This window comes from Homo sapiens, chromosome 19 (assembly GCF_000001405.40).
Source record: "Homo sapiens chromosome 19, GRCh38.p14 Primary Assembly".
Classification (NCBI taxonomy): domain Eukaryota; kingdom Metazoa; phylum Chordata; class Mammalia; order Primates; family Hominidae; genus Homo; species Homo sapiens.
The window spans coordinates 45,583,906-45,608,795 of record NC_000019.10 but is presented as its reverse complement, the minus strand read 5'-3'; the positions used below and the strand labels follow the sequence as shown (position 1 = coordinate 45,608,795).

Here is a 24,890-nt window from a genome sequence, read left to right as displayed (position 1 = left end):
CAAGACCAGCCTGGCCAACATGGTGAAACCCTGTCCCTACTAAAAAATACAAAAAAAATTATCCGGGTGTGGTGGCGGGCACCTGTAATCCCAGCTACTCAGGAGGCTGAGGCAGGAGAATGGCTTGAACCTGGGAGGCAGAGGTTGCAGTGAGCCGAGATCATACCACTGCACTCCAGTCTGGGTGACAGAGTGAGACTCTGTCTCAAAAAAATTAAAATAAAATTTTTTTTTTATTTGAGATGGTGTCTCGCTCTGTCGCCCAGGCTGGGTGCAGTGCCATGATCTTGGTTCACTGCCACCTCTGCCTCCCGGGTTTAAGCGATTCTCCTGCCTCAGCCTCCTGAGTAGCTGGGAATGCAGGTGCATGCCACAACACCTGGCTACTTTTTGCATTTTTTTTTCTTTTTTCTTTTTTAGACGGAGTCTCACTCTGTCGCCCAGGCTGGAGTGCACTGGTGCGATCTCGGCTCACTGAAAGGTCCGCCTCCTGGGTTCATGCCATTCTCCTGCCTCAGCCTCTCGAGTAGCTCAGACTACAGGCACCTGCCACCATGCCCGGCTAATTTTTTTGGTATTTTTAGATGGGGTTTCACTGTGTTAGGTAGAATGGTCTCAGTCTCCTGACCTCGTGATCCGCCCGCCTCAGCCTCCCAAAGTGTTGGGATTACAAGCATGACCCACTGCGCCCAGCCTGTATTTTTTAATAAAGAGTTTCGCCATGTTGGCCAGGTTGGTCTCGAACTCCTGACCTCAGGTGATCTGCCTGCCTCAGCCTCCCAGAGTGCTGGGAATACAGGCATGAGCCACCACACCGGGGCTGATCCTTCACTTTTTTAAAAGCCAGCACCCTCTACAGTCACATTGTCTTAGGTGCCAGCCATTTGAACCCTCCCTTTCTGAACTTGTCCACGGGCGAACTCCTCATCAGCCAGCAGTGACCAGACCTATGCTGGAGATAGGAGACCAGTGAGACCCAAGCCATCACCACCCTTAGGGCAGAAGGGACAGGGAGGGAATTTGTTACCCGTCTCCAGGGACAGGCAGAGTTCCCAGAGGAGCTGTGGTTCAGAGGAGGGGGCCACAGCCACTGTGGGACTAAGGGAAGCAGAAAGGGGCCCAGGAAGTGAGTGTACCCTGACTCTCTCCACCGACCCTGTGGATGGAGTTTGCACTAGGCCTATCCTATCACCCTTAGGTCTAGAAGACAGTTTTCTGCCGCTCTTGGGTCAAAGCCTCCTCTCCTCCTCCCCTCACTCCCCACCTTTTGTCCCTTCCCCATTGCCCAGGTTCTGGGAAAGTGGCCCAGCGCTGCGGAAGCGGCCCTTTCATCGGGCATCCGGGTGCTCTTTCGACCCCTCGTGGCCAGTCTTGGACCTGCATGGAAAAATGTGCCAAGAAAGTTCTGCTGGAAAAGTGCTGGTGATTCTCCACGTGACCCTCCTCCGCGCCCCCAGGGTCACTCTCAGCCTTCCTTCCCCAGCTCGGGGCCCTGGGAGACCGCCGTGTGCAAATTCTATCGGCAGGGTCGGTGGAGAGAGGTCAGGGTATTTGCTTCCTGGGCCCCTCCCTGCATCCCGCACTCACAGTGGCTGTGGTTCCCCTCCTCTGAGCCGCAGTTCCTCTGGGAACTCGAGCTGTCCCTGGAGACGGGTAACAGACTCCCTCCCTGTCCCTTCTGCCCTAGGCTGGCGATGGCTTCGTGCCCACTTCGGATGGTCCCCTGGGGCCGCCCCATCCTTTGTGGCTTTCTCCACTCTGCCCATCCCTCTATAAACTGCCCATAAATGCTCCCAGTTAAACTCGGAGTGGCCACTTGCTTCCCTCCAGGACCCTGATCGAGTCTCAGCATAAATTTAGGATGAGCCAGAGAGAGAAGGGGACTCTAAGCCCACCAATGAGCATTCAGAATTTATCTTTTTATTATTATTAGTTTTTGAGTCAGTCTCACTGTGTTGCCCAGGCTGGAGTGCAGTGGCACAATCCCAGCTCACTGCAACCTCTGCCTGCCAGGCTCAAGCGATTCTCATGTCTTAGCCTCTCGAGTAGCTAGGGCTGCAGGTGTGCGCTACCATGCCCAGCTAATTTTTGTATTTTTAGTAGAGATGGGGTTTTGCCATGTTGGCCAGGCTGGTCTTGAACTCCTGGCCTCAAGCAATCCACCTGCCTCGGCCTCCCAAAGGGCTGGGATTACAGGCGTGAGCCACTGTGCCCGGCCTGAAGGAAAAAAACATTTATTCCTGGCCTGGCGTGGTGGCTCACGCCTGTAATCCCAGCCCTTTGGGAGGCCGAGGAGAGCGGATTACGAGGTCAGGAGATCTAGAACACAGTGAAACCCTGTCTCTACTAAAAAATACAAAAAATTAGCTGGGCGCGGTGGCGGGCGCCTGTAGTCCCAGCTACTCGGGAGGCTGAGGCAGGAGAATGGCGTGAACCTGGGAGGCGGAGCTTGCAGTGAGCCAAGATCGCACCATTGCACTCCAGCCAGGGCGACAGAGCGAGACTCTGTCTCAAAAAAAAAAAAAAAAAAAAAAAAAAACATTTATTCCTATGAGTGTTGTTGGTCTCTTGAGTCTTCGTTAACCTGCTCACTTTGGCTGGGTTTGGTGGCTCTGGTAATCTCAGTGCTTTGGGAGGCTGAGGCGGGAGGATTGCTTGAGCCCCAGAGGTAGAGGCTGCAGTGAGTTATGATGGAGCCACTGTACTCCAGCCTGGACAAAAGAGTGAGACCCCATCTCTTAAAAGAAAAATCCCTGAGAGGAAGGGGGTAATGTGGTTCACAGAGGTAAAGTCACCTGTCCAAAGCCACACAAGATTATAAGAATAGCTATGTTTTTGTTTGTTTTATTAATTAATTAATTTATTTATTTTTGAGACAGAGTTTCGCTCTTGTTGCCCAGACTAGAGTGCAATGGCACGATCTTGGGTCACTGCAACCTCCACCTCCTGGGTTCAAGTGATTCTTCTGCCTCAGCCTCCCGAGTAGCTGTGTTTACAGGCATGTGTCACCACGCCCGGCTAATTTTGTATTTTTAGTAGAGACAGGGTTTCTTCATGTTGGTCAGGCTAGTCTTGAACTCTTGACCTCAGGTGATCCGCCTGCCTTGGCCTCCCAAAGTGTTGGGATTACAGGCATGATCCAGTGCACCTGCACTATTTATTTATTTTTTGAGATGGAGTCTTGCTCTGTCGCCCAGGCTAGAGTGCAATGGCGCAATCTCGGCTCACTGCAACCTCCACCTCCTGGGTTCAAGCAATTATCCTGCCTCAGCCTTCCGAGTAGCTGGGATTACAGACATCCACCATCACACCCAACTAATTTTTGTATTTTTAGTAGAGACGGGATTTCGCCATGTTGGCCAGTCTGGTCTTGAACTCCTCACCTCAAGTGATCTGCCCACCTCAGCCTCCCAAAGTGCTGGGATTACAGGTGTGAGACACCGCACCTGGCCGATATCCTGAGTCTTGATTTGGGTGTTTAATTACATGGTGTATCCAATTTTCAGGATTCCTTATATTCTTCCCTTAAGATCTGAACATTTTAATCAAATTTTTTGAGACTAATTGTTAATTAAATGTAATTTTTAATTACATTTATTTTTTAATCACGGCTAATTTTTATTTTTTATTTTTTTTTGTAGAGATGGGGGTCTCACTTTTTTGTCCAGGCTGGTCTCAAACTCCTGGGCTCGAGTGATCCTCCCGCCTCAGCCTCCCAAAGTGCTGGGATTACAGGCATGAGCCACAGAGCTTAGGTGCCCTTTCTTCCCCCTCTGTTTCCCAGGCTGTAGTGCAGTGGTGCGATCTTGGCGCACTGCAACCTCCGCCTCCTGGGTTCAGGTGATCCTCCCACCTTGGCCTGCGCAGTAGCTGGGACCACAGGCACGCACCACCCAGCTGGCTAGTTAAAAGAAATTTTTTTTTTGTAGAGACAGAGTCTTGCTATGTTGCCCAGGTTGATCTCAAACTCCTGGCTTCAATTGATCAACCTGCCTTGGCCTCCTAAAGTGATGGGATTACAGGCATGAACCACCATGCCTGGCCTACATTTTAATTTAATTTAAAAATAAACACAAAAGAGCTGGGCGCGATGGCTGATGCCTATAATCCCAGCACTTTGGGAGACCTAGGCAGGCTGATCACCTGAGGTCAGGAGTTCGAGACCAGCCTGGCCAACATGGTGAAAACCTGTCTCTACTAAAAACACAAAAAGTAGCCGGGTGTGGTGGTGTTCACCTGTAGTCCCAGCTACTCGGGAGGCTGAGGCAGGATAATCACTTGAACCTGGGAGGTGGAGGTTGCAGTTAACTGAGATGGCACAATGGCACTCCAGCCTGGGGGACAGAGCAAGACTCTGTCTCAAAAAAACAAAAAACAAGCCAGGTGCCGTGGCTCATGCCTGTAATCCCAGCACTTTGGGAGGCCGTGGCAGGCAGATGACCTGAGGTCAGGAGTTCGAGACCAGCCTGGCCAACATGGTGAAACCCTGTCTCTACTAAAAACAAAAAAATTAGCTGGGTGTGGTGGTGCATGCCTGTATACCCAGCTACCAGAGGCTGAGACAGGAGAATTGCTTGTACCCGGCAGGAGGAGGTTGTATTGAGCTGAGATCATGTCCCTGCACTCCAGCCTGGGCACAGCAAGACTCTGTCTCAAAAAAAAAAAAAAAAATCAAACCTGACAGCTATCATTTTTTAGTGTTATATGCCACATCTATCTGAAGTCCCTTGACCAATAATGAATTCTCATGATTAGTTTATGAAAGATGTGATGTTAATAATAAAAATAAGCTAATGTTTTAGGAGCACTTATCATTCATTTGTTCACTCCCTGAAAACAATGTTTTTTGTTTTTTGTTTTGAGATGGAGTCTTGCTCTGTCACCCAGGCTGGAGTGCAGTGGCGCGGTCTTGGCTCACTGCAAGCTCCGCCTCCCGGGTTCATGCCGTTCTCCTGCCTCAGCCTCCTGATTAGCTGGGACAACAGGCGCCCACCATCACATCTGGCTAATTTTTTTGTATTTTTAGTAGAGATGGGGTTTCACTGTGTTAGCCAGGATGGTCTCCATCTCCTGACCTCGTGATCCGCCTGCCTCAGCCTCCCAAAGTGCTGGGATTACAGGCGTGAGCCACCACGCTCGGCCAGAAAACAATGTGTTTCACACCTATCACCTGCCCAGCAGTCTTCTAGGCAACAGACATGCAACAGTAAACAAGCCAGACACAAAAATGACACTCTTCCTAGTAGGAAGGCAGACAACTAGAAAAAAATAAGAGAATGTTGCCTTCCCCAAAGGGTAGGGGAAAAGTGAGGCAGAGAAAGATGGGGAGTGTTGGGGTCTGGTTGGCATATTTTACAGACTTGATAGCATTGACACCATTAAATGAGACCGCCAGGAGAAAAGGACCATGATGGCCGGCCTCGGTGGCTCAGGCTTATAATCCCAGCACTTTGGGAGGCCAAAGCAGAAGGATGGCTTGAGCCCAGGAGTTTGAGACCAGCCTAGACAACATAGTGAGACCCCTGTCTATAGAAAAAAAAAATTTTTTAAATTGGCCAGGTGTGGTGGCACACGCCTGTAGTCCCAGCAACTCAGGAGGCTGAGGTGGGAGGATCACTTGAGCCTGGAAGGTTGAGGCCGCAGGGAGCCATGATCGTGCCACTGAACTCCAGACTGGGCAAGAGAGTGAAAACCTGTCTCAAAAAAAGAAAAAAGGTGGGGCACGGTGGCTCACGCCTGTAATCCCAACACTTTTTGGAGGCCGAGGTGGGCAGATAGCTGGAGCTTAGGAGTTCGAGACCAGCCTGGCCAACTTGGTGAAACCCCGTCTCTATTAAAAATACAAAAATTAGCCGGGCGTGGTGGTGTGTGCCTGTAATCCCAGCTACTCGGGAGGCTGAGGCAGGAGAATCGCTTGAACCTGGAAGGCAGAGATTGCAGTGAGCCAAGATTGTGCCACTGCACTCCAGTCTGGGCAACAGAGCATGACTCTGTCTCGAAAGAAAAGAAAGAAAAAAGCAAAGCAAAGCAAAGCAAAGAAAAGAAGGAAGCAAGCAGGCACCATGAGTGACCACCTTGATTCAAAGAGGAAACTGAGGCACGGAGATGTCACTAGCCTAAGGTCTGACCAAGAGTCAGGCTGGAAATGCAACCCCAGAGCTCCTTCTAGGGGTGGCCCTGACTTTGGAGTTGGGGACCTAACAGAACCCTTTATTCTCTCCGTTGTTGGGGAGGAAGATGCAGAAGGTTAATGACCAGAGGATGAATGACTGAAGCCTGGGGTCTCTAAGGGAGGAAATGGCTTAACCCAGGGAAGGTCAGTAGCGGGGGCCTCCTCTTCCCATAGCCGAGGACCTGATAAATTTGGGGGTGTGTGGTTGGAGAGAGGGGACCTTCCAGCTGGGGACTTGGAAGGATTCGGGGGTGTTCCAGTAGCAGATGAGCCTCACCCGTGGCTGGAGGCGTTTAATGGGGTGAAGCCTGAAAGGGGTTAAGGGGCAGCGGCAAAGGTGGGGTTAATGGGGGCGGGCCTGGCCGGGGCGGGGCCTCGGCTGGCGGCTCTGGCCCGGGGGCCGGGAGGAGTAGCCGCTGTTCTGCCCCGCGGGGGCATCCGCTGGGTCCCCGCGCCGTTGTCAAGACCGGGGACCTGGACGCAGCGGAGAGAGGTGCCGCCGCCCGCCCCGTCCAGTCGCCGCGCGCAGGTAAGTGCCGGGTCCTCCCCGGCTGCCCGCGATGCTGCGGGGTCTCACTAGGTTGCCCTGCTCGTGGCGAGACCGCTCCTCCCCGCCCCCTCGGGGGCTGCCTCAGTCTCCCGCGCCGTCTCGGTGCCCGCCCCCTCTGTTGCTCTCCCTGGCTTTGCGTCTGTCTCCAACTCCCGCCTGATGTCTCTGTGTCTGTGGTCCCTCTGCCTCTGGACGTGTCTTTCCTTCTGTGTCTCTGGATGTCTCTGTCTTTTTCTTGATCTCTGCCTCTCTGTCTCCGTCTGTCTGTCTCTGTCTCTCTGTTTCTGGGTCCCACCTCCCTCTGCCCCTGCCTCTGCCTCACCCCCGTCTGTTGTGGGACCTCTGCGGATGTCTCTGACTCTATCTCCATCTCTCCCTGTCTCTGTGTATCTCTTTGCTCTCTCCCTTCCTGTCTCTTCATCTCTATTGCCCTGTCTCTTTCTCTCCGTCTCTTATAACACTGTTTTGGCACCTTCAGCTCTGTCTTCTCTCCTTCCAAATCCTCCGCATCCCGGAACTTTCCTCTGGGCTGGGAACCTGCTTGGGAGTGGGGTAGGGGGCAGGAGGCTTGTGACCTGGGGCAGGCGGACTCTAAGTGACACCATGATCCCAGCGCCCCCTTCACGGAGCCACCCCACTGCCCCTCAGGTCGCACCCAGCCCGCCCGCCAATTTCAGGAATTCCTGCCTGGGGGGTGGACTTCCTCCCCTACTTCCTCTCTTCCAGGATTTGGCTGGGTCACCATTAACTCTTTCCTGCTTCCGCCTCACTCTCCCCCCTGGAACTGGACAACCCCTCCTCCCAAACTAGGCTGAGGAATAGCTCTAGGATATCTGTGAGGCATCGGTTGTGGGATGTGTGTGTGTGCGTACTCAGGCTGGATATGCATTGGGGAATTTGTTTGGCGCAGAAGTGGAGAGGATGGGGCCACACCCCCCAGTTCCCCCTCCAGAGCCCACCATCAGCCCCCCTCCTCCTGAGCCCACCAAGGGGGTATCCGCCCCCACCTCTGTCTTTGTAGATGAACTTGACTTCAGGTTTGGGGTGAGGATGAGGAGGTTTTCTTTTCTGGGGGAATCCCAGCTGAAGAGGATGAAAGACCCATAGGGGCTCCTGGAACCCTGGGAATCCTATGATCAAGTACCTTGAATGTGAACATCTTTGAATGGAAGGGCCCAGATGGAAGAAGCATTGGAGGGGAGGCCTGGGAATTCCAGATCTTTCCAATCAAAGGTCCTGGGGATACTGGAGTCCTTCAATCCAAAAAGAGGAGTGTTGAAATCTTGGCACGTTTCAGTGATGGCAGCTGAGAGCTGGAAAGGGTTTGCGGAGCCACCTAGGCCAACTCCCCCTGCCCCCATTTTATAGATGGAGAAACTGAGGTCCAAAAGCAGAAGTCCCCACAGTGAGTCAGTGCCAGGCTGGAGGGTTGGGACCCCAGTTTTCAACTGAAGCCCAAATCCACAGAGCTGGCTTCTTCTGCTACCACTAAGTCGGATTAATTTGGGGAAAGAGGTCTTCTCAATGAGGAGGGAGAGATGCCAGGGTGAGTAGAAATGGCTGGAATCCAGAAGGGAGGGTTTTAGAAGCAGAGGAGAGAAAATATTTCCAAAACCATGGTGGTGGGGAGGGAGAGGGGCAATAGTTGGTTTGGGTGGAAGGGGTGGAGTTTCGGGAAGAGAGGGAGGGAGGTGGAGGGGAACCGGGATTAACTCCAGCTTCAGTCTCCTGACCCTCCGCCTGGAGCCCACCGTTCCCTCGGGGACAGGGCCTATAATTTGGTTTGTGTCTAGACAAATAATAACTCAGCTGGTGTGAGCGGGGAGGGCTGAGGCTAGGCCCACTAGCGAAAGGGTAGAGAGGCGGCCTGGATATAGCATGTCACCCCCAGGTGGTGAGAATTTAGGGGCCAGGTGGAGGTGGTGACTAACACGCCCCTCTCTTCCCTCCATGAAGCCATAATTTCTTAGAATTCTGCACAATCTTAGAAATCAGGCTGCTGGAATGTTCAAAAGCAGGCGAGAGAAGGGGGGAAAGAAAAGGAAGTGGGGCTCACCGTATTTAGTGTATGTTCCCATTTCTGTAAAAGAGAAAAGGGAAATACATATTCCTGTTTGCTGGGGAAAGATAAAAATCACTGAGCGTTTAATAATAGATTATGAAAGTCATAGAATGCTTAAAAAAATCATAGCGTGTTCTAACAATAGAACTTTCGAATCTTGGAATGTGACACTCCTAGAATATTGGAAACTTAGGGTAGGTACTTACAAAGCCACGATGTAATAAATAGAATGAAAGAAGAGTAACGCTCTAGAATGTTATAATAGAACATTCAACTGCGAAGTGAACTAAGGATAGAACCTGAAGACTGCAGAACCATAGAGACCTAGAACGTCAGAGAGGCCATCTAAGGACTGGTATCCCTAGTAGGCAGTGTGGGCTTTGGGGGCACAGAGACCCTCTCGGTTGAAACAGGGATACTGAGGTGCAGTGGGGCCGTTAGGGTAGCCCGATTGCCCCCTGGTTTCCGCCGGCCGCCAGGGCACCAGGTGGGGAGCGAGGACCAGTGATCACATTTCGTCCCTAATGAGCAGACCGGAGCTGGCTGGTCCCTTGGGGCTGCAGGGAGAAGGCGGGGAGGGGGGGGTGGTGGGAGCAGGAGCCCACAGAGGAGGAAAAGGGGGAGGTGAGATAGCCTGGTGGCATCGGGGACAAGGCTGGTGAGTGAGCCCAGGGGTGCTGGGGGATGCGGGGGGCTGTAGCACTTCTCCCTCTTGTCCTCAAAATCCTCCAAGTTTTTCAGCTTTGCTGGATTTTGGGGTGGCTGGCAGGATGCGGCAGCCGAGGCTGCTAAAGTTGGGGGGGCCAGGTCTTCCTAGTCTTTCCTGTCCCCCCACCATCTCTCCATCCTTGGGTATATTTCTCTTCCCCCCGACTCTCTGGAAGGGGCCAGCAGGGACCCAAGAAGTGGGGGCCTGTGGGACAGACAGGGGGAGCTTCTTGTGGATGTGAGATTTGGGGGTTTACCCCCTCAACAGAGCCTAAGGGGCAGAACTTAGATCCCAACCAGAGAGGGTCCTGGAAGGGGAACGGGGTTATGGGGATCAGGTGATGGAAGGTCGCTTGCTTTCTTTGTGGGGAGAAGGTCGTATCTTCTAGTAGGTTCTCAGAGGGGCCAGAGACGCTCAGAAAGACTTGAGAAAAATTACAGAAGTTCAGAGAGTGAAGAGAAAAACCTCAGGGGAAGGGAAGCTGTTTAGTTAACAGCGACAGGAGGTTTGCCCAGTCTTGAGACATCAAGTGACTTAGACAACTGCCTTGCTGCTGCGGGCCTCGGTTTCCCCATCTGTACCAGGAAGGGGTCAGAAATAGCCTCACACTCCCAGCTGCCACACATACGTCGGCTGCACTGTGGCGTTCTAAGAGTCTGACGTTCCATGCTGACTTTTGGGGTTTCCACGTTGGGCAGATCTCACGTGGGGAAGAAGAGAGGGCTGTCTGGGCACCCCTCCCCCCCATGTCCAGCATCCGCAAGATGCCAGCAGGTTGGGGAGGAGGGGTGGGAGGGAGGAGGGGTGAGAGCTGGACCGGTTCCCCCTTGAGGAAATTAGCAATGGGAAGTGTATTTCCTCCTCTGGCTGCCGGAAGTGTCTCCTGCCCGGGTACCCGAGTTAGGTCAGCAGAGCCCTGGGGGTCGATAGAAAGTGGGGCAAAGGGGACTTCTAGCCCTCGGTGGGTGTCTCCTGCCATGAAGAACCGGTTTATTTCTTGTCTCAGCCCCCTAGTCCCCGTGGAATAATAATAATCGTTCAAATACTGCATGTTACGGAGCTGATATCGCATTCTAGCAAGGACGTTCCGGTCTGTGATGTGATGACTATAAAGCCTGTGCCCCCTTTTACAGAAGGGAGAAACTGAGGCTCCTGGAGACCTAATTCTCTAAATGTCACAGGAGGAAGGGAGAGACTAGGGGCAGAGAGATGGGGAGAGAGAGGGCAGAGGAGAGGGGAGGGAGGTTATTTTGAGTGACTTGGTCTGGGTGGGAGGTTTCAAGTGGAAGGGAGGGACTGGATCACACTGTTCCAGCCTGGAGTACGCCCCCACCCATCCCATCTCCACAGGACCCACAAGCTTCTGCCCAAGAGTCTGGGGTGGGGGAGGCAGCTCTGCCGCTGAGGACCCCACAGGGGGCAGGACTTACTGAGCACGACTCAGCCCTGACCTTTCAAAGTCAATTAAGAAGCGGATAGATCTTGCCCTTTCCAGCTCTCCCCTGACCACCTCTTCCCCTGGGAATGGACTCCTCTCCCTCCCTTCCCCCTCCTCCCCATGCCCTTGTTTGAGCCTGGGGTGGGGTGGGGCAGCCTCATGGGCAGAGAGTATGTTTTTACTCCATGCCTCTGGCCTCTGCAAAGCTTCTGGAATGGTTTTTGCCATTGGCAAATGGCTCTGTGCTCCCTGACCATGACCTTGGTAATTTATTGAGCACCTACTGTATGCTGGGCCTGTCCTGGATGCTGGGGATACAGCAGTCAACAAGGCACACAAAGTCTCTGCCCTCCTGGACAACCTATTCTAGGCAGACAGACACAAACAAAACAGGGTGATGTGAGGAGAGGGTCCTGGGGCAGGGGAGAGTCGGGGACTGAATGGAGAGGGACTCCCGAGGAAGTGAAGGAGGGAACGGAGCTACTCAGACTATCTGAAGGAAGAGCAGTGGCTCACATCTGTAATCCCAGCACTTTGAGAGGCCAAGGTGGGTGGATCACTGGAGAACAGGAGTTCGAGACCAACCTGGCCAACATGGTAAAACCCCATCTCTACTAAAAATACAAAAATTAGCTGGGCATGGTGGTGCACACCTGTAATCCCAACTACTCAGGAAGCCAAGGCAGGAGACTCACTTGAACCCAGGTGGCGGAGGTTTCAGTGAGCCGAGATCGTGCCACTGCACTCCAGCCTGGGCGACAGAGTAAGATTCTGTCTCCAAAAAAAAAAAAGAGCATTCCAGACTGAGAGTATGGTAAGTGTGCAAAGGTTTGAGGCTGGAAAGAAGGTCACTCACTGGCCTTGAGACTGCTGAGGCAGGAAGGAGAGGTGAGTGAGATTGGCTAGGCTGCCCCAGCAGGTCAGACAGAACCTTGTGACTCCGGATGAGGAGTCTGGATTTTACCGCAAGTCCATTCAGAAGCCATTGGAGGGTTTCAAGCAGGGAAGTAACAAGAACTAGGCTGCATGTGGTGGCTCATGCCTGTAATCCCAGCACTTTGGGAGGCCAAGGCAGGAAGATCTTTTGAGCCCAGGAGTTGGAGACCGGCCTGGGCAACATGGGGAAACCCCATCTCCACAAAAAATAGAACGATTAGCCAGGTGTGGTGGCACACACCTGTAGTCCCAGCCACTTACGAGGCTGAGGTGGGAGGATGGCTTGAGCCCATGAGGTCAAGACTGCAGTGAGTCAAGATTGCACTACTGCATGACAGAGTGAGACCCTGTCTCAAAAAAAAGAAAGAAAGAAAGAAAAGAAAAGAAGAAAAGAAAGAGCTGATTTTCATGATAGAAAGATCTTGCCCGGGCGCGGTGGCTCACGCCTGTAATCCCAGCACTTTGGGAGGCCAAGGTGGGTGGATCACCTGAGGTCAGGAGTTCGAGACCAGCCTCACCAACATGGAGAAACCCTGTCTCTACTAAAAATACAAAATTAGCTGAGCGTGGTGACGCATGCCTGTAATCCCAGCTACTCCAGAGGAAGAGGCAGGAGAATCACTTGAACCCGGGAGGTAGAGGTTGTGGTGAGCCAAGATTGGGACATTGCACTCCAGCCTAGGTGACAAGAGTGAAACTCTCCATCTCAAAAAAAAAAAAAAAAAGAAGAAAAGAAAAGAAAGATCTTTCTGGCTGCCATATGGGAAGTGATTTGAAGGAAGCCAGAGTAGCCCAGAAAAGCAATGGTGATGCTACTGCAATGATCCCAGCGAGTGATGACGCTGATGCTGACGCAGAGTGGACAGTGGCAGGCGTTTGAGAGAGACGCACACAGATTCAGGAAGCACTGGGGAGGTGGAGCCCAGAGGACTTTCCCATGGAAAGATGCTCTGGCATCTGGGAGGCTCCCATGGACCTCCTTCCGTCCCCTCTCTGGGGATTGGTTTCCTCATTTGTCAATAGACTCCACCTTAAACTCCATTTTTAACATGTTTTAAAAGTGCATCCTGGGGATTCTTCAGAGGTGGCCTCTCCACCCCCACCTTGTTTCACCAGAGCAGCTAGCAGCTCACCCTTTTCACTGTTTTAGATTGGTTTCTGGTTAAGATCTTGTTGGGGGAAAAAAAAAAAAAGCCAGGTTTCACGTCCAAAAGAACTAAACCAAAAGACCCCTGGATGGAATGGCTCCTGAAGCTGCCTGTGACTCTGGACTTGGCTCTGCTTCTCTGCGGGGTTGATGATAGTCAGGGGCTTGGTCCATGAATATCCTTTGCCCTGTGTATGCAGATCTTCCCAGAACAAAGTGGGTGACAGGCTCAAGGTTCTCACTCAGGAAAATTGCGGGGGAAAGGGCAGAGACAGTGAAGAGAGTGGTCCCTGAGGGAGGAGACTGCTGGCGCTAACCCCAGGGCTTCCCCATGCTCCCTGATCTTGATCTTGACCTTGACTGTTCCCAGCAGCTCCTGGCTCTCCCCTTTCCCTTACTCCTCTGCAGCTTTGGTTCCCAGTCCCCACTGGCAGCCCAGGGCCCTTTTCTGTCCAGTTATTTTTTATTTATTTATTTATTTATTTATTTATTTATTTATTTATTTAGAGATGGAGTTCGCTCTTGTTGCCCAGGCTGTAGTGCAATGGCACCATCTCAGCTCACTGCAACCTCTGCCTCCCGGGTTCAAGCAATTCTCCCACCTCAGCCTCCCAAGTAGCTGGGATTACAGGCATGTGCCGCCACACCTAGCTTATTTTGTATTTTTAGTAGAGACAGGGCTTCTCCATGTTGGTCAGGCTGGTCTCGAACTCCCGACCTCAGGTGATCCTCCCGCCTTGGCCTCCCAAAGTGCTGGGATTACAGGCGTGAGCCACCGTGCCTGGACTTCTTTTTTTTGAGATGGAGTTCCTCTCTTGTCTCCCAGGCTGGAGTGCAGTGATGCTATCTCAGCTCACTGCAACCTCTGCCTCCTGGGCTCAAGCAATCCTCTCGCCTCAGCATCCCGAGTAGCTGGGATTACAGGTATGTGCCACCACGCCCAGCTAATTTTTGTATTTTTAGTAGAGACAGGGTTTCACCATGTTGGCCAGGCTGATCTTGAACTCCTGACCTCAGGCGATCCTCCCGCCTTGGCCTCCCAAAGTGCTGGGATTACAGGCATGAGCCACTGTGCCTGGCCTGTCCAGTTATTCTGGGGTGGAAACTGAAGCACAGGCTGGAGATGAGGACTGAGAGCAGAGATGGCTGCACTCTAGACATCAGGACCTTGGACAGGTCTTGGAACAGCTCTGTGCCTCAGTTTGTCAAAGAGAAAGAACAACTACTTTCCTCATAGGAGTCTTGAAAATTTCAAAGAAGTAATATCCATAAATTGGCCGGGCATGGTGGCTCACTCCTATAATCCTAGCATTTTGGGAGGCCAAGGTGGGAGGATCTCTTTTTTTTTTTTTTTTTTTTTGAGACGGAGTCTGGCTCTGTCACCCCCGCTGGAGTGCAATGGCGTGATCTCAGCTCACTGCAACCTTCGCCTCCCAGGTTCAAGCGATTATCCTGCCTCAGCCTCCTGAGTAGCTGGGACTACAGGTGTGCGCCACCATGCCCAGCTAATTTTTGTATTTTTAGTAGAGACAGGGTTTCACCATTTTGGCCAGGATGGTTTTGATCTCTTGACCTCATGATCCGCCCGCCTCAGCCTCCCAAAGTGCTGCGATTACAGGGAAGGATCTCTTGAGCTCAGGAGTTCAAGAGACCAGCCTGGGCAACACAGGAAGACCTGCATCTATTTTATATATATATATATATATATATATATATATTTTTTTTTTTTTTTTTTAAGCCAGGCATGGTGGTGCATGCCTGTGTTCCCAGCTACTTGGGAGGCTGAGGCAGGAGGATCACTGGAAGCCCAGGAGGTTGAGGCTGCTGTGAGCTGTGATCGTGCTACTGCATTCTAGTCTGGACAAAAGAGCAAGACCCTGTCTCAAAAAATAAATAAATAAAAAGAAATAATATGCATAAAAATGCCTGGAATGGGATCTGCTATGTAGTAGGGCTCAATTAACGTTTGCTGTTATTATCCTTGTTGACAAGAATGGGATTCTTGGGTAAGGAGTGGGAGGCTGGCCCCAGCCCTGGCCCTATTGCTGCCATGCTGTGCATCCTTAGGGAGGTGACTCAGCCTCTCTGGGCCCCTTCTCCCTGTCTGTGACATGATAGAGTTAGACTAGTCTGGCATTTCCTGAAGCATGATATGATACCTGTGCCAGTTTTACAGGAATTCTGCAGGAAAATGCTAAAATCTGAGTTGGGTCATTTTTTTCCCTTTTTCTCTTTCTTTCTTTCCTTTTTTTTTTCTTTTTTTTCTTTTCTTCTTTTTTTTTTGAGACAGAGTTTTACTCTTTTGCCCAGGCTGGAGTGCAGTGGTGCGATCTCAGCTCACTGCAACCTCCGCCTTTTGGTTTCAAGCAATTCTCCTGCCTCAGCCTCCTGTGTAGCTGGGATTACAGGCACGTGCCACCACATCCAGCTAATTTTTGTATTTTTAGTAGAGATGGGGTTTCACCATGTTGGCCAGGCTGTTCTTGAACTCCTGACCTCGTGATCTGCCTGCCTCGGCCTCCCAAAGTTCTGGGATTACAGGTGCGAGCCACCACACCCTACCTTTTTTTTTTTTTTTTTTTTTGAGACAGGGTCTCACTCTGTTGCCCAAGCTGGAGTGCCGTGGTGTGATTATAGCTCACTACAGCCTGAATCCCCTGGGATCAAGTGATCCTCCTACCTCAGCCTCCCCAGTAGCTGTGACTACAGGTATGTACCACCACACCTGGCTAATATTTTTATTTTTATTTTTTGTAGAGACTGGGTCTCACTGCATTGCCCAGGCTGGTCTTGAACTCCTAGGCTCAAGCGAACCTCCCACCTCGGCCTCCCAAAGTGTTGAGATTACAGGCATGAGCCACTGCACCCGGCCTGAGTTGGGTCTTTATTCTAATATCTGTCAGGGGAAAATATGCCTGACACCTCAAATCTGTGTTTTCAGAGAGTGGTTGCTTAGGATGGGGCTGAAGTAGGCATTGTTGGGGTGTCCAGTCTCTGCAGTTCACAGCAATTATGGTGAGGAGTGTGGGGAGAAGAAGGTTGGAGTGTCCATGACTCCCTCACTGCTGTCCTCTCTCCCAACAGGCACTGCAGTCAGCGGTGAACTGACTTCATCCCAATCCCTCAGCCCCCACCAGGACCAGTCTGGAGTCCCTCCCCTGCCCCCATTGAAATTTCCCTTCCGTCCCCAAACTTACCTCTGATCTAGACCTTACTCACCTCCTTCCTGTTTCCTAAGACTCCTTCCTGCCGTCCACAGACCGAGCCTTTTATCTTTGTCCACCCTGTGCCAGACACCTCCTTTTCCAGAACCTTCTCCTTACTGGTGACCTTACTTATCTCTGTTGCTTTCTGGGGTCCTAGGAAATGCCAGCACTCCCACCCACATTGCCTGAACTTTCCAACACTCCCTAACTGCGCTGTGTCCTATCTCAACACTTTCTCATGTATTTCTTGTGTCTTCTAGAACATTCCCCCGCCATTATTACTTCAATATGGCTACACATACTTCCTAATTGCCCTGCAAACCATCTCCTTCTCACCATTGCCCAGCGATGCTTTCGTCTCCTCCATAAACACTCCCGGAGACCAATTTTTGTGTCACCCCCATACTCCCTCGTTGACACACTGACTCCATACATAACCTCCTTGAAAAACCTCTTTATTAATCTCACCATCCTCCAGACTTCCCTCCTGTCATAATTCCATCCCTCCTCCAACTTTTCCCTCTCAAGCTCTGCCCTTCCCAGCCCAGCCCAGCCTACCCAACCTCATCTCTTCCCTGTAGACCACATCCCACCATGTTCCCCTGAGCCTCCAAGGAAGGGGCTCAGGGGGCCCCATGGCCTCCCGCTCCCTGTGGCCCCACAGCCCCCGTGGGCCAGGGGAAGCGCCCCAGAAGCCGAAGTGCCCACCATGGGCAACCACACGTGGGAGGGCTGCCACGTGGACTCGCGCGTGGACCACCTCTTTCCGCCATCCCTCTACATCTTTGTCATCGGCGTGGGGCTGCCCACCAACTGCCTGGCTCTGTGGGCGGCCTACCGCCAGGTGCAACAGCGCAACGAGCTGGGCGTCTACCTGATGAACCTCAGCATCGCCGACCTGCTGTACATCTGCACGCTGCCGCTGTGGGTGGACTACTTCCTGCACCACGACAACTGGATCCACGGCCCCGGGTCCTGCAAGCTCTTTGGGTTCATCTTCTACACCAATATCTACATCAGCATCGCCTTCCTGTGCTGCATCTCGGTGGACCGCTACCTGGCTGTGGCCCACCCACTCCGCTTCGCCCGCCTGCGCCGCGTCAAGACCGCCGTGGCCGTGAGCTCCGTGGTCTGGGCCACGGAGCTGGGCGCCAACTCGGCGCCCCTGTTCCATGACGAGCTCTTCCGAGACCGCTACAACCACACCTTCTGCTTTGAGAAGTTCCCCATGGAAGGCTGGGTGGCCTGGATGAACCTCTATCGGGTGTTCGTGGGCTTCCTCTTCCCGTGGGCGCTCATGCTGCTGTCGTACCGGGGCATCCTGCGGGCCGTGCGGGGCAGCGTGTCCACCGAGCGCCAGGAGAAGGCCAAGATCAAGCGGCTGGCCCTCAGCCTCATCGCCATCGTGCTGGTCTGCTTTGCGCCCTATCACGTGCTCTTGCTGTCCCGCAGCGCCATCTACCTGGGCCGCCCCTGGGACTGCGGCTTCGAGGAGCGCGTCTTTTCTGCATACCACAGCTCACTGGCTTTCACCAGCCTCAACTGTGTGGCGGACCCCATCCTCTACTGCCTGGTCAACGAGGGCGCCCGCAGCGATGTGGCCAAGGCCCTGCACAACCTGCTCCGCTTTCTGGCCAGCGACAAGCCCCAGGAGATGGCCAATGCCTCGCTCACCCTGGAGACCCCACTCACCTCCAAGAGGAACAGCACAGCCAAAGCCATGACTGGCAGCTGGGCGGCCACTCCGCCCTCCCAGGGGGACCAGGTGCAGCTGAAGATGCTGCCGCCAGCACAATGAACCCCGAGTGGCACAGAATCCCCAGTTTTCCCCTCTCATCCCACAGTCCCTTCTCTCCTGGTCTGGTGTATGCAAATTGTATGGAAAAAGGGCTGTGTTAATATTCATAAGAATACAAGAACTTAGGAAGAGTGAGGTTGGTGTGTCACTGGTCAACCTTTGTGCTCCCAGATCCCATCACAGTTTGGCGATTGTGGAGGGCCTCCTGAAGGAGGAGATGAGTAAATATATTTTTTTGGAGACAGGGTCTCACTGTGTTGCCCAGGCTGGAGTGCAGTAGTGCAGTCGTGGCTCACTGCAGCCTCCACCTCCTGGGCTCTCCAGCGATCTTCCCACATCAGCCTCCCGAGTAGCTGGGACCACAAATGTGAGCCACCATGCCTGGCTAATTTTTGTACTTTTTGTAGAAATGGAGTCTCACTATGTTTCCCAGGCTGATCTTGAACTCCTGGGCTCAAGAGATCCTCCTGCCTTGGCCTCCCAAAGTGCTCAGATTAGAGATGTGAGCCGCCATGTCTGGCCAGATAAATTAAGTCAAACATTTGGTTTCCAGAAAATAAAGACAAATAGAGAAGGTTAGATTTTTTTTTTTCCAACAAGTGGATAAAAGTCTGTGACTCGGGGGAAAGTGGAAGGAGAAATGCAGCCGATATAGAGTCATTATGTTTGCAAAGCCCCTGGTCATACAGGCCAGGGAACATAAGACCGCAATTCTAAGTTTCTAGATAAACAGCGATCTCCAAGTCAAGACTGAGGATGAAGAGGGAGAATGTCAGAACTCAAGTGAAGGGCAATCAGGGCAGACTGCCTGGAGGAGTGATGCCAGAAGGTTTGGGAAGAAGGTGTGGGACAAGAAGAAAGGGTATTTATTCATTCATTCAACAGAGGTTTATGTAGGGCACTGTGCTGGGTGGGGCTGGGGACACAACAATGACTGAGGCAGCCTGGCCTTGCCTTCACAGGGCTCACCATACACAAGTAAATAAAAAATATGTAATGTTTGGAATTGCTAAATGGGAAGGGGACATTTTTCTATGTAAAGCCAGTTGAGGGAACAGAGGATGACTTGGAGTCTGATCTGGAGGAGGGCAGAGAAGGGCTTGCTGAGGTGGCTTTCCAGCAAAGACTTGAAGCATGGGCGGCACTCAGCCTTGTGGCTGTTGTGGGAAGAGCATTTCAGGCAGAGGGAACTGCAGGTGCAAGGGCTCTGGGGTTAGACAGTGTCTGAATTTTGGGCCGGGCGCAGTGGCTCACGCCTGTAATCCCAGCACTTTGGGAGGCCAAGGCGGGCGGATCACCTGAGGTCAGGAGTTCGAGACCAGCCTGGCCAACATGGTGAAACCCCGTCTCTACTAAAATACAAAAAAAAGTAGCTGAGCGTGGTGGTGGGTGCCTGTAATCCCAGCTAGTTGGGAGGCTGAGGCAGGAGAATCGCTTGAACCCGGGAGGCAGAGGTTGCAGTGAGCTGAGATTGTGCCACTGCACTCCAGCCTGGGTGACAAGAGCGAAACTCCATCTCAAATAATAATAATAGAGTGTCTGAATTTTGAAAGATAGCAGGTATGGCAGTGTGGCTGGAGAGGAGGTAGAGAGGACGAGAGGAAAGGGGAAATGAGACAAGAGAGGGGACAGCAGGTCGTGTGGGGCCATGTAAATCCTAGTGAGGACTCTGCCTTTTAATCTGAGATAAATGGGAGCTATGAGGGGGTTCTCAGTAGAGGATGAAGGTGATTTGACTTAAGTATTAACAGTATCCCACGGGCTGTTGAGTGGGGAGTAGAATATGGGAGATTGGCTGGGCACAGTGGCTCAAGCCTGTAATCCCAGCACTTTGGGAGGCTGAGGCAGGAGGACTGCTTGAGGCCAGGAGTTTGGGACCAGCCTAGGCAACATAGGGAGACCCAGTTTCTACAGAAATTTTAAAAATTAGCCGGGCATGGTGGTATGTGTCTGTAGTCCCAGCTACTTGGTAGGCTGAGACCGGAGGATCACTTGAGCCAGGAGGTGGAGGCTGTGATGAGCAGTGATTGCACCACTGCACTCCAGCCTGGGCGACAGAGCGAGACCCTGTCTCAAAATAAAAAAGGAATATGGGAGACAAGGATAGAAGTCAGGAGCCCAGTGAGGAGGTGACTGCAGGAGTCCAAGAGGGAGGTGCTGTCAGTTGGGCCGGGTGGGTGGTGGTTGTGGATTTAACAAGGAGCAGTGATCAGCTTTTGGAGTTTTATTTTTGTTTGTTTATTTATTTATTTTGAGACAGAATCTCGCTCTGTTGCCCAAGCTGGAGTACAGTGTCAGGATCTCGGCTCACTGCAACCTCCGCCTCCTGGGATCAGGCAACTCTTGTGCCTCAGCTTCCTGAGTAGCTGGGATTACAGGCATGCACCACCACGCCTGGCTAATTTTTGTATTTTTAGTAGAGACGGGGTTTCTCCATGTTGGCCAGGCTGATCTTGAAATCCTGGCCTCAAGTGATCCTCCCACCTCAGCCTCTCAAAGTGCTGGGATTACAGGCTTGAGCCACCGTGCCCAGCCTTGGATTTATTTTAATGGAAGAAGCACAGGGGCCAGAGGGATTATGAAACACGAGTACCTCACTCATTCCAGGAAAAGGGTGACTAGGGGCTGTGAGCAGAAAAAACTTCCAGGAAGGATCCCAGGCCCTAGTCTAGGGCGGTCACCAGAGAGGCCAGGCAACCAGTCCAAGGTCCCATGGCTGGTGAGTCAGCGCTGGAGCCATCTTGGGTTCCCTCTCCCCTCCCCATCTCTGCTTGTGTTCCCATGCCCCAGGATGGCCAAGGCTGCCCTCCCTCCCCTGGTCTCAGGGGTCACCAGGAATGGCCACTGTTCCATGACCAGGCTGGAGAGCAGGAAGAAGCACCCAGCTCTGAAAAGGCCTCACCCTTCAGAGAAGGTCTCCTCTCCTCTTCCTCCTTACGGGTGTGTAAACAGACTCCTGAGGTGTGAAGATTCACTCACAACCCTCCTACCACCCCGCTCCCCCGGGCCCTCCTCTCCCTTCACAAAGGTTCCCAGAAGACTTTCCCGGGAACCCTTCTCAGAGAAAGGAAGAAGGAGGAGAGGAATAGGGGGAAAAATGCACTCAATGATTTTTCTGGGGTGGAGGGAGCACAGAGATGGCGGAAATCAGGGCTTTGGTGTTGGTGGGCTGGAGGGCTAGAGAAGAGAGGGAGGCCTGGGATCTGGGAGGCCTAGTAGTCTTCCCACCCCATCCCACTGCTGTAAAGCTATGGGAATGGAGGTGATGGGGCCAGAATTTTTCTTTTCTCTCTTTTTTTTTTTTTTGAGACTGAGTTTCGCTCTTGGTTGCCCAGGCTGGAGTGCAATGGCGCGATCTCGGCTCACCGCAACTTCCGCCTCCTGGGTTCAAGCAATTCTCCTGCCTCAGCCTCCCGAGTAGCTGGAATTACAGGCATGTGCCACCACGCTCTGCTAATTTTGTATTTTTAGTAGAGACGGGGTTTCTCCATGTTGGCCAGACTGGTCTCAAACTCCTGACCTCAGGTGATCCACCCGCCTCGGCCTCCCAAAGTGCTGGGATTACAGGCGTGAGCCACCGTGCCTGGCCAATTTTTTTTTTTTTTGAGATGGAGTCTCACTCTGTTGCCTAGGCTGGAGTGCAGTGGCGCCATCTCGGCTCACTGCAAGCTCCGCCTCCTGGGTTCACGCCATTCTCCTGCCTCAGCCTCCCGAGTAGCTGGGACTACAGGCGCCCGCCACCACGCCCGGTTAATTTTTTGTATTTTTTTAGTAGAGACGGGGTTTCACCGTGTTAGCCAGGATGGTCTCGATCTCCTGACCTCATGATCTGCCCACCTCAGCCTACCAAAGTGCTGGGCGTCAGCCACCACGCCCGGCCAATTTTTTTTGTTTTGTTTTGAAACAGAGCCTCGCTCTGTCACCCAGGCTGGAGTGCATTGGCACGATCTCGGCTCACTACAACCTCCGCCTCCCGAGATCAAGTGATTCTCCTGTCTCAGCCTCTGGAGTAGCTGGGATTACAGGTGTGCGCCACCACGCCCAGCGAATTTTTTGTATTTTTAGTAGAGATGGGGTTTCATCGTGTTGGCCAGGCTTGTCTCGAACTCCTGACCTCACATGATCCGCCTACCTGTGCCTCCCAAAGTGCTGGGATTACAGGCGTGAGCCACTGCGCCCGGCCTGGGGACAGAAATTTTATGTTTTTTGAGACAGGGTCTTGTTGTGTTGCCTAGGCTGGAGTGCAGTGGAGCTCATGGCTCACCACAGCTTCAACCTCCCAGGCTCAAACGATCTGTAAAATGGGAAGGGGGCTGGTCCCAAATGGATGATGGACCTTAGGTAGTCCCAAGTTTCTGCATACCTTCCGTGTGGAAGGGACCCTGGAAAAGGTTGTTTTTATGGAATCCTGGCATTCTTAGTAATTCAGAATATCAGGGTTCACACACACACCAGCACCATCAGTAAAGATGAGGAAACGCAGGTCCCTCAGTGCCAGGAGCTTGACAAAGGACACTCAGAGAGTCAGACTGGATACCAAAGAAGTCCAGAGCCCCCTGATTCTGTGTCCTGAATGTATGTTTCCTCCTACACACCACTCCTCTGTTCCTGTTTTCCTTTTTTTTTTTTTTTTTTTTTTGAGACGGAGTCTCGCTCTGTCGCCAAGACTGGAGTGCAGCGGCGTGATCTCGGCTCACTGCAACCTCTACCTCCCAGGTTCAAGCGATTCTCCTGCCTCAGCCTCCAGAGTACCTGGGATTACAGGTGCCCGCCACCATGCCCGGCTAAATTTTTTTTTTTTTTTAGTGGAGATGGGATTTCACGATGTTAGCCAGGTTGGTCTCAAACTCCTGACCTCAGGTGATCCACCCTCCTCAGCCTCCCAAAGTGCTGGGATTACAGGCGTGAGCCATGGCGGCCAGTCCTCTGTTCCTGTTTTCTTCTGTCCCTCTGCCTCCGAGAATCTCTCAATTACCCATCAGCACTCCATCATCCAGGAATTTCTCTCAACCCCTTCCTGACATTGTTTATATGATTTTACTCCCTGCTGGGTAAGAAAGGACAGTCTGGGACATGTCCTTAAATTTATTTCTGAACTAGCTCCCTGGGGAACCTACCTCCTAATGAAGGAAGTTGGGTTGCTTGAGAACGGGTATGGTTTTATTGGCCAAGATGCCAGGCTATCAACCTCTGCAGGAACCTTGTGCCACCCCCTGCCCTGCTCTGGGCCTCAGTTTCCTTGTCAGTTACTTGGGAAAGGGTTGGATTCGCTGCTTCTGGGGGTGAAATGCACCCTCAGGCTGGATTTAGCATTAATAATGCAATCATGACCTGTATAGTAAGAAGGGCTATTTACTGAGCGCTTAACTATATGAATGGCACCATTCTAACCACTTCCCATGGTCCACTGTTTTACACTCAAGATTAGCATAGAAGCCTCACAACAACCCAAAGAGGCAACTGCTATTAGGATTCCCATTTGGTAGACGGTAATACTGAAGTCCAGAGAGGTTATGCCACTCATCTAATATTACACAGCGAGGAAATGGCAGAGCTGGGATCCCAGCCAAAGTCTGTATGACCGCGCGGCTTCCTCTTAATCCCAATGAGAGCCCTAGCTTGCAGAGGAAGGTGTATTTGGGGCTCATAGGACTAATTAGGACTAATTAAGAGCCTCCTTTGGGTGGGGACGCCAACTCGGAACGTGACATCACGAAGGAGTACAGTGACGTTGGCCAAGGCGGGCGTGGGAATCCACACGCCTTCCAGCATCCGTTTAACGGCACCGCCCCCTGACCCGCCTCACTTCCGTGTATATTTGCATATTCAGCGAACGGACGTCGCTACGCCAGCGTCGACGGGGTGACGTCAGGATGCGCCTCTGAAGTTTCCCTCGAGCGTACGTACATACGTACTGACGCACGCATGGCCACGAGAGGGCGGGGGAGGAGTGAAGAGGTTGAGGCGCCCCGCCCAGTCAGCAAGGTTGCGCGTGCCCTGTGAGACCGCCAAGATGGTGGTGGGCGCGTTCCCTATGGCGAAGCTGCTATACTTGGGCATCCGGCAGGTCAGCAAGCCGCTTGCCAACCGTATTAAGGAGGCCGCCCGCCGAAGCGAGTTCTTCAAGACCTATATCTGCCTCCCGCCGGCTCAACGTGAGTCTGACCCGAATTCCCTCCAACCTTTTTCCTTTCTCCAACCCCTGTCAGGTGGTTGCTTAGGGGATGGACTTCTGTCTACGACCAATCACAGCCCGAACCGGCAAAGTCCAGTGGCCAATAGTGGGGGGTTTCTGATAGAGGGGCGTACGGGTGGCCCAGTAGTGAGGGCGGGGCGGGGCGTAAGGGGCGGGTCAAGGAGCCACCACGCGAGTAGGAAATGCCAGCCGATAAAGGAAGAGAGCGCTTGGAGACTGATGCCCTGTTAAACCAATAGTGTGAGAGATGGGAGAAATTTGGACGGGGCTTTCCAGGATAGAGGAGCTAGGGGAGGGGCTGAGGAGAAACCGGACGGGGTCCTTTGCCCGGCTGTCCTTGGGCAACTTCATTTCAAAAGCGGCACCGTGTGCCTCAGTTTCCCCACTGATCTAGGAGGTGCTTGTATATCCTCCGTTTAGGACGTCGACGTGCCTCAGTTTTACTGTAGTCAATAAGTCTGGATTAGGGGCATGGTTCGGGGGTGAAGTCTGGGTTCTGGAGACATGGCCTGGGAATCCGGAAAAGGACTTTGAGCCAGAGAGGACATTCATCTGTGTACTCATTAATGCGCTCATACGCCGTCCTTTCATTCGGTTGACAGACTATGCGGCCTTTTTGCTCAGCACTGGGAGATATACTCCTGATCCATCACTGTCAACCCAGAGTGGTCGGGAA

At 52.5% G+C, this 24,890-nt stretch overlaps 2 protein-coding genes across 4 annotated transcripts in view, besides 3 other annotated features; both read left to right on the top strand.

The window, feature by feature from the left end:
* The first annotated feature begins 6,583 nt into the window (after window positions 1-6,583).
* Window positions 6,584-19,032, top strand: GPR4 (G protein-coupled receptor 4). Its single transcript, NM_005282.3, has 2 exons — window positions 6,584-6,701; window positions 16,099-19,032. The coding sequence occupies exon 2, from the start codon at window positions 16,930-16,932 to the stop codon at window positions 18,016-18,018; it is 1,089 nt and encodes a 362-aa protein (NP_005273.1). The 5' UTR covers window positions 6,584-6,701; window positions 16,099-16,929; the 3' UTR covers window positions 18,019-19,032.
* Window positions 10,146-10,782: an enhancer, noted in NCBI's record as "H3K4me1 hESC enhancer chr19:46101272-46101908 (GRCh37/hg19 assembly coordinates)". NCBI's record gives its function as "activates a minimal SCP1, AML or CMV promoter by ChIP-STARR-seq in naive H9 embryonic stem cells {active_cell/tissue: H9 hESC(naive)}" and the evidence as "EXISTENCE:reporter gene assay evidence [ECO:0000049][PMID:30033119]".
* Window positions 10,783-11,420: an enhancer, noted in NCBI's record as "H3K4me1 hESC enhancer chr19:46100634-46101271 (GRCh37/hg19 assembly coordinates)". NCBI's record gives its function as "activates a minimal SCP1, AML or CMV promoter by ChIP-STARR-seq in primed H9 embryonic stem cells {active_cell/tissue: H9 hESC(primed)}" and the evidence as "EXISTENCE:reporter gene assay evidence [ECO:0000049][PMID:30033119]".
* Window positions 23,935-24,114: an enhancer, noted in NCBI's record as "active region_14802". NCBI's record gives its function as "activates an Ori minimal core promoter by ATAC-STARR-seq in GM12878 lymphoblastoid cells {active_cell/tissue: GM12878}" and the evidence as "EXISTENCE:reporter gene assay evidence [ECO:0000049][PMID:35858748]".
* Window positions 23,994-24,890, top strand: part of OPA3 (outer mitochondrial membrane lipid metabolism regulator OPA3) — a 57,376-nt gene continuing 56,479 nt past the window's right edge. For all 3 annotated transcript variants that reach the window (NM_001017989.3, NM_025136.4, XM_006723403.5), the window contains exon 1: window positions 23,994-24,173. In NM_001017989.3, coding sequence (NP_001017989.2) covers window positions 24,032-24,173 — 142 coding nt within the window. In that variant the 5' untranslated portion in view covers window positions 23,994-24,031. The remainder of the gene's footprint in view (window positions 24,174-24,890) is intronic.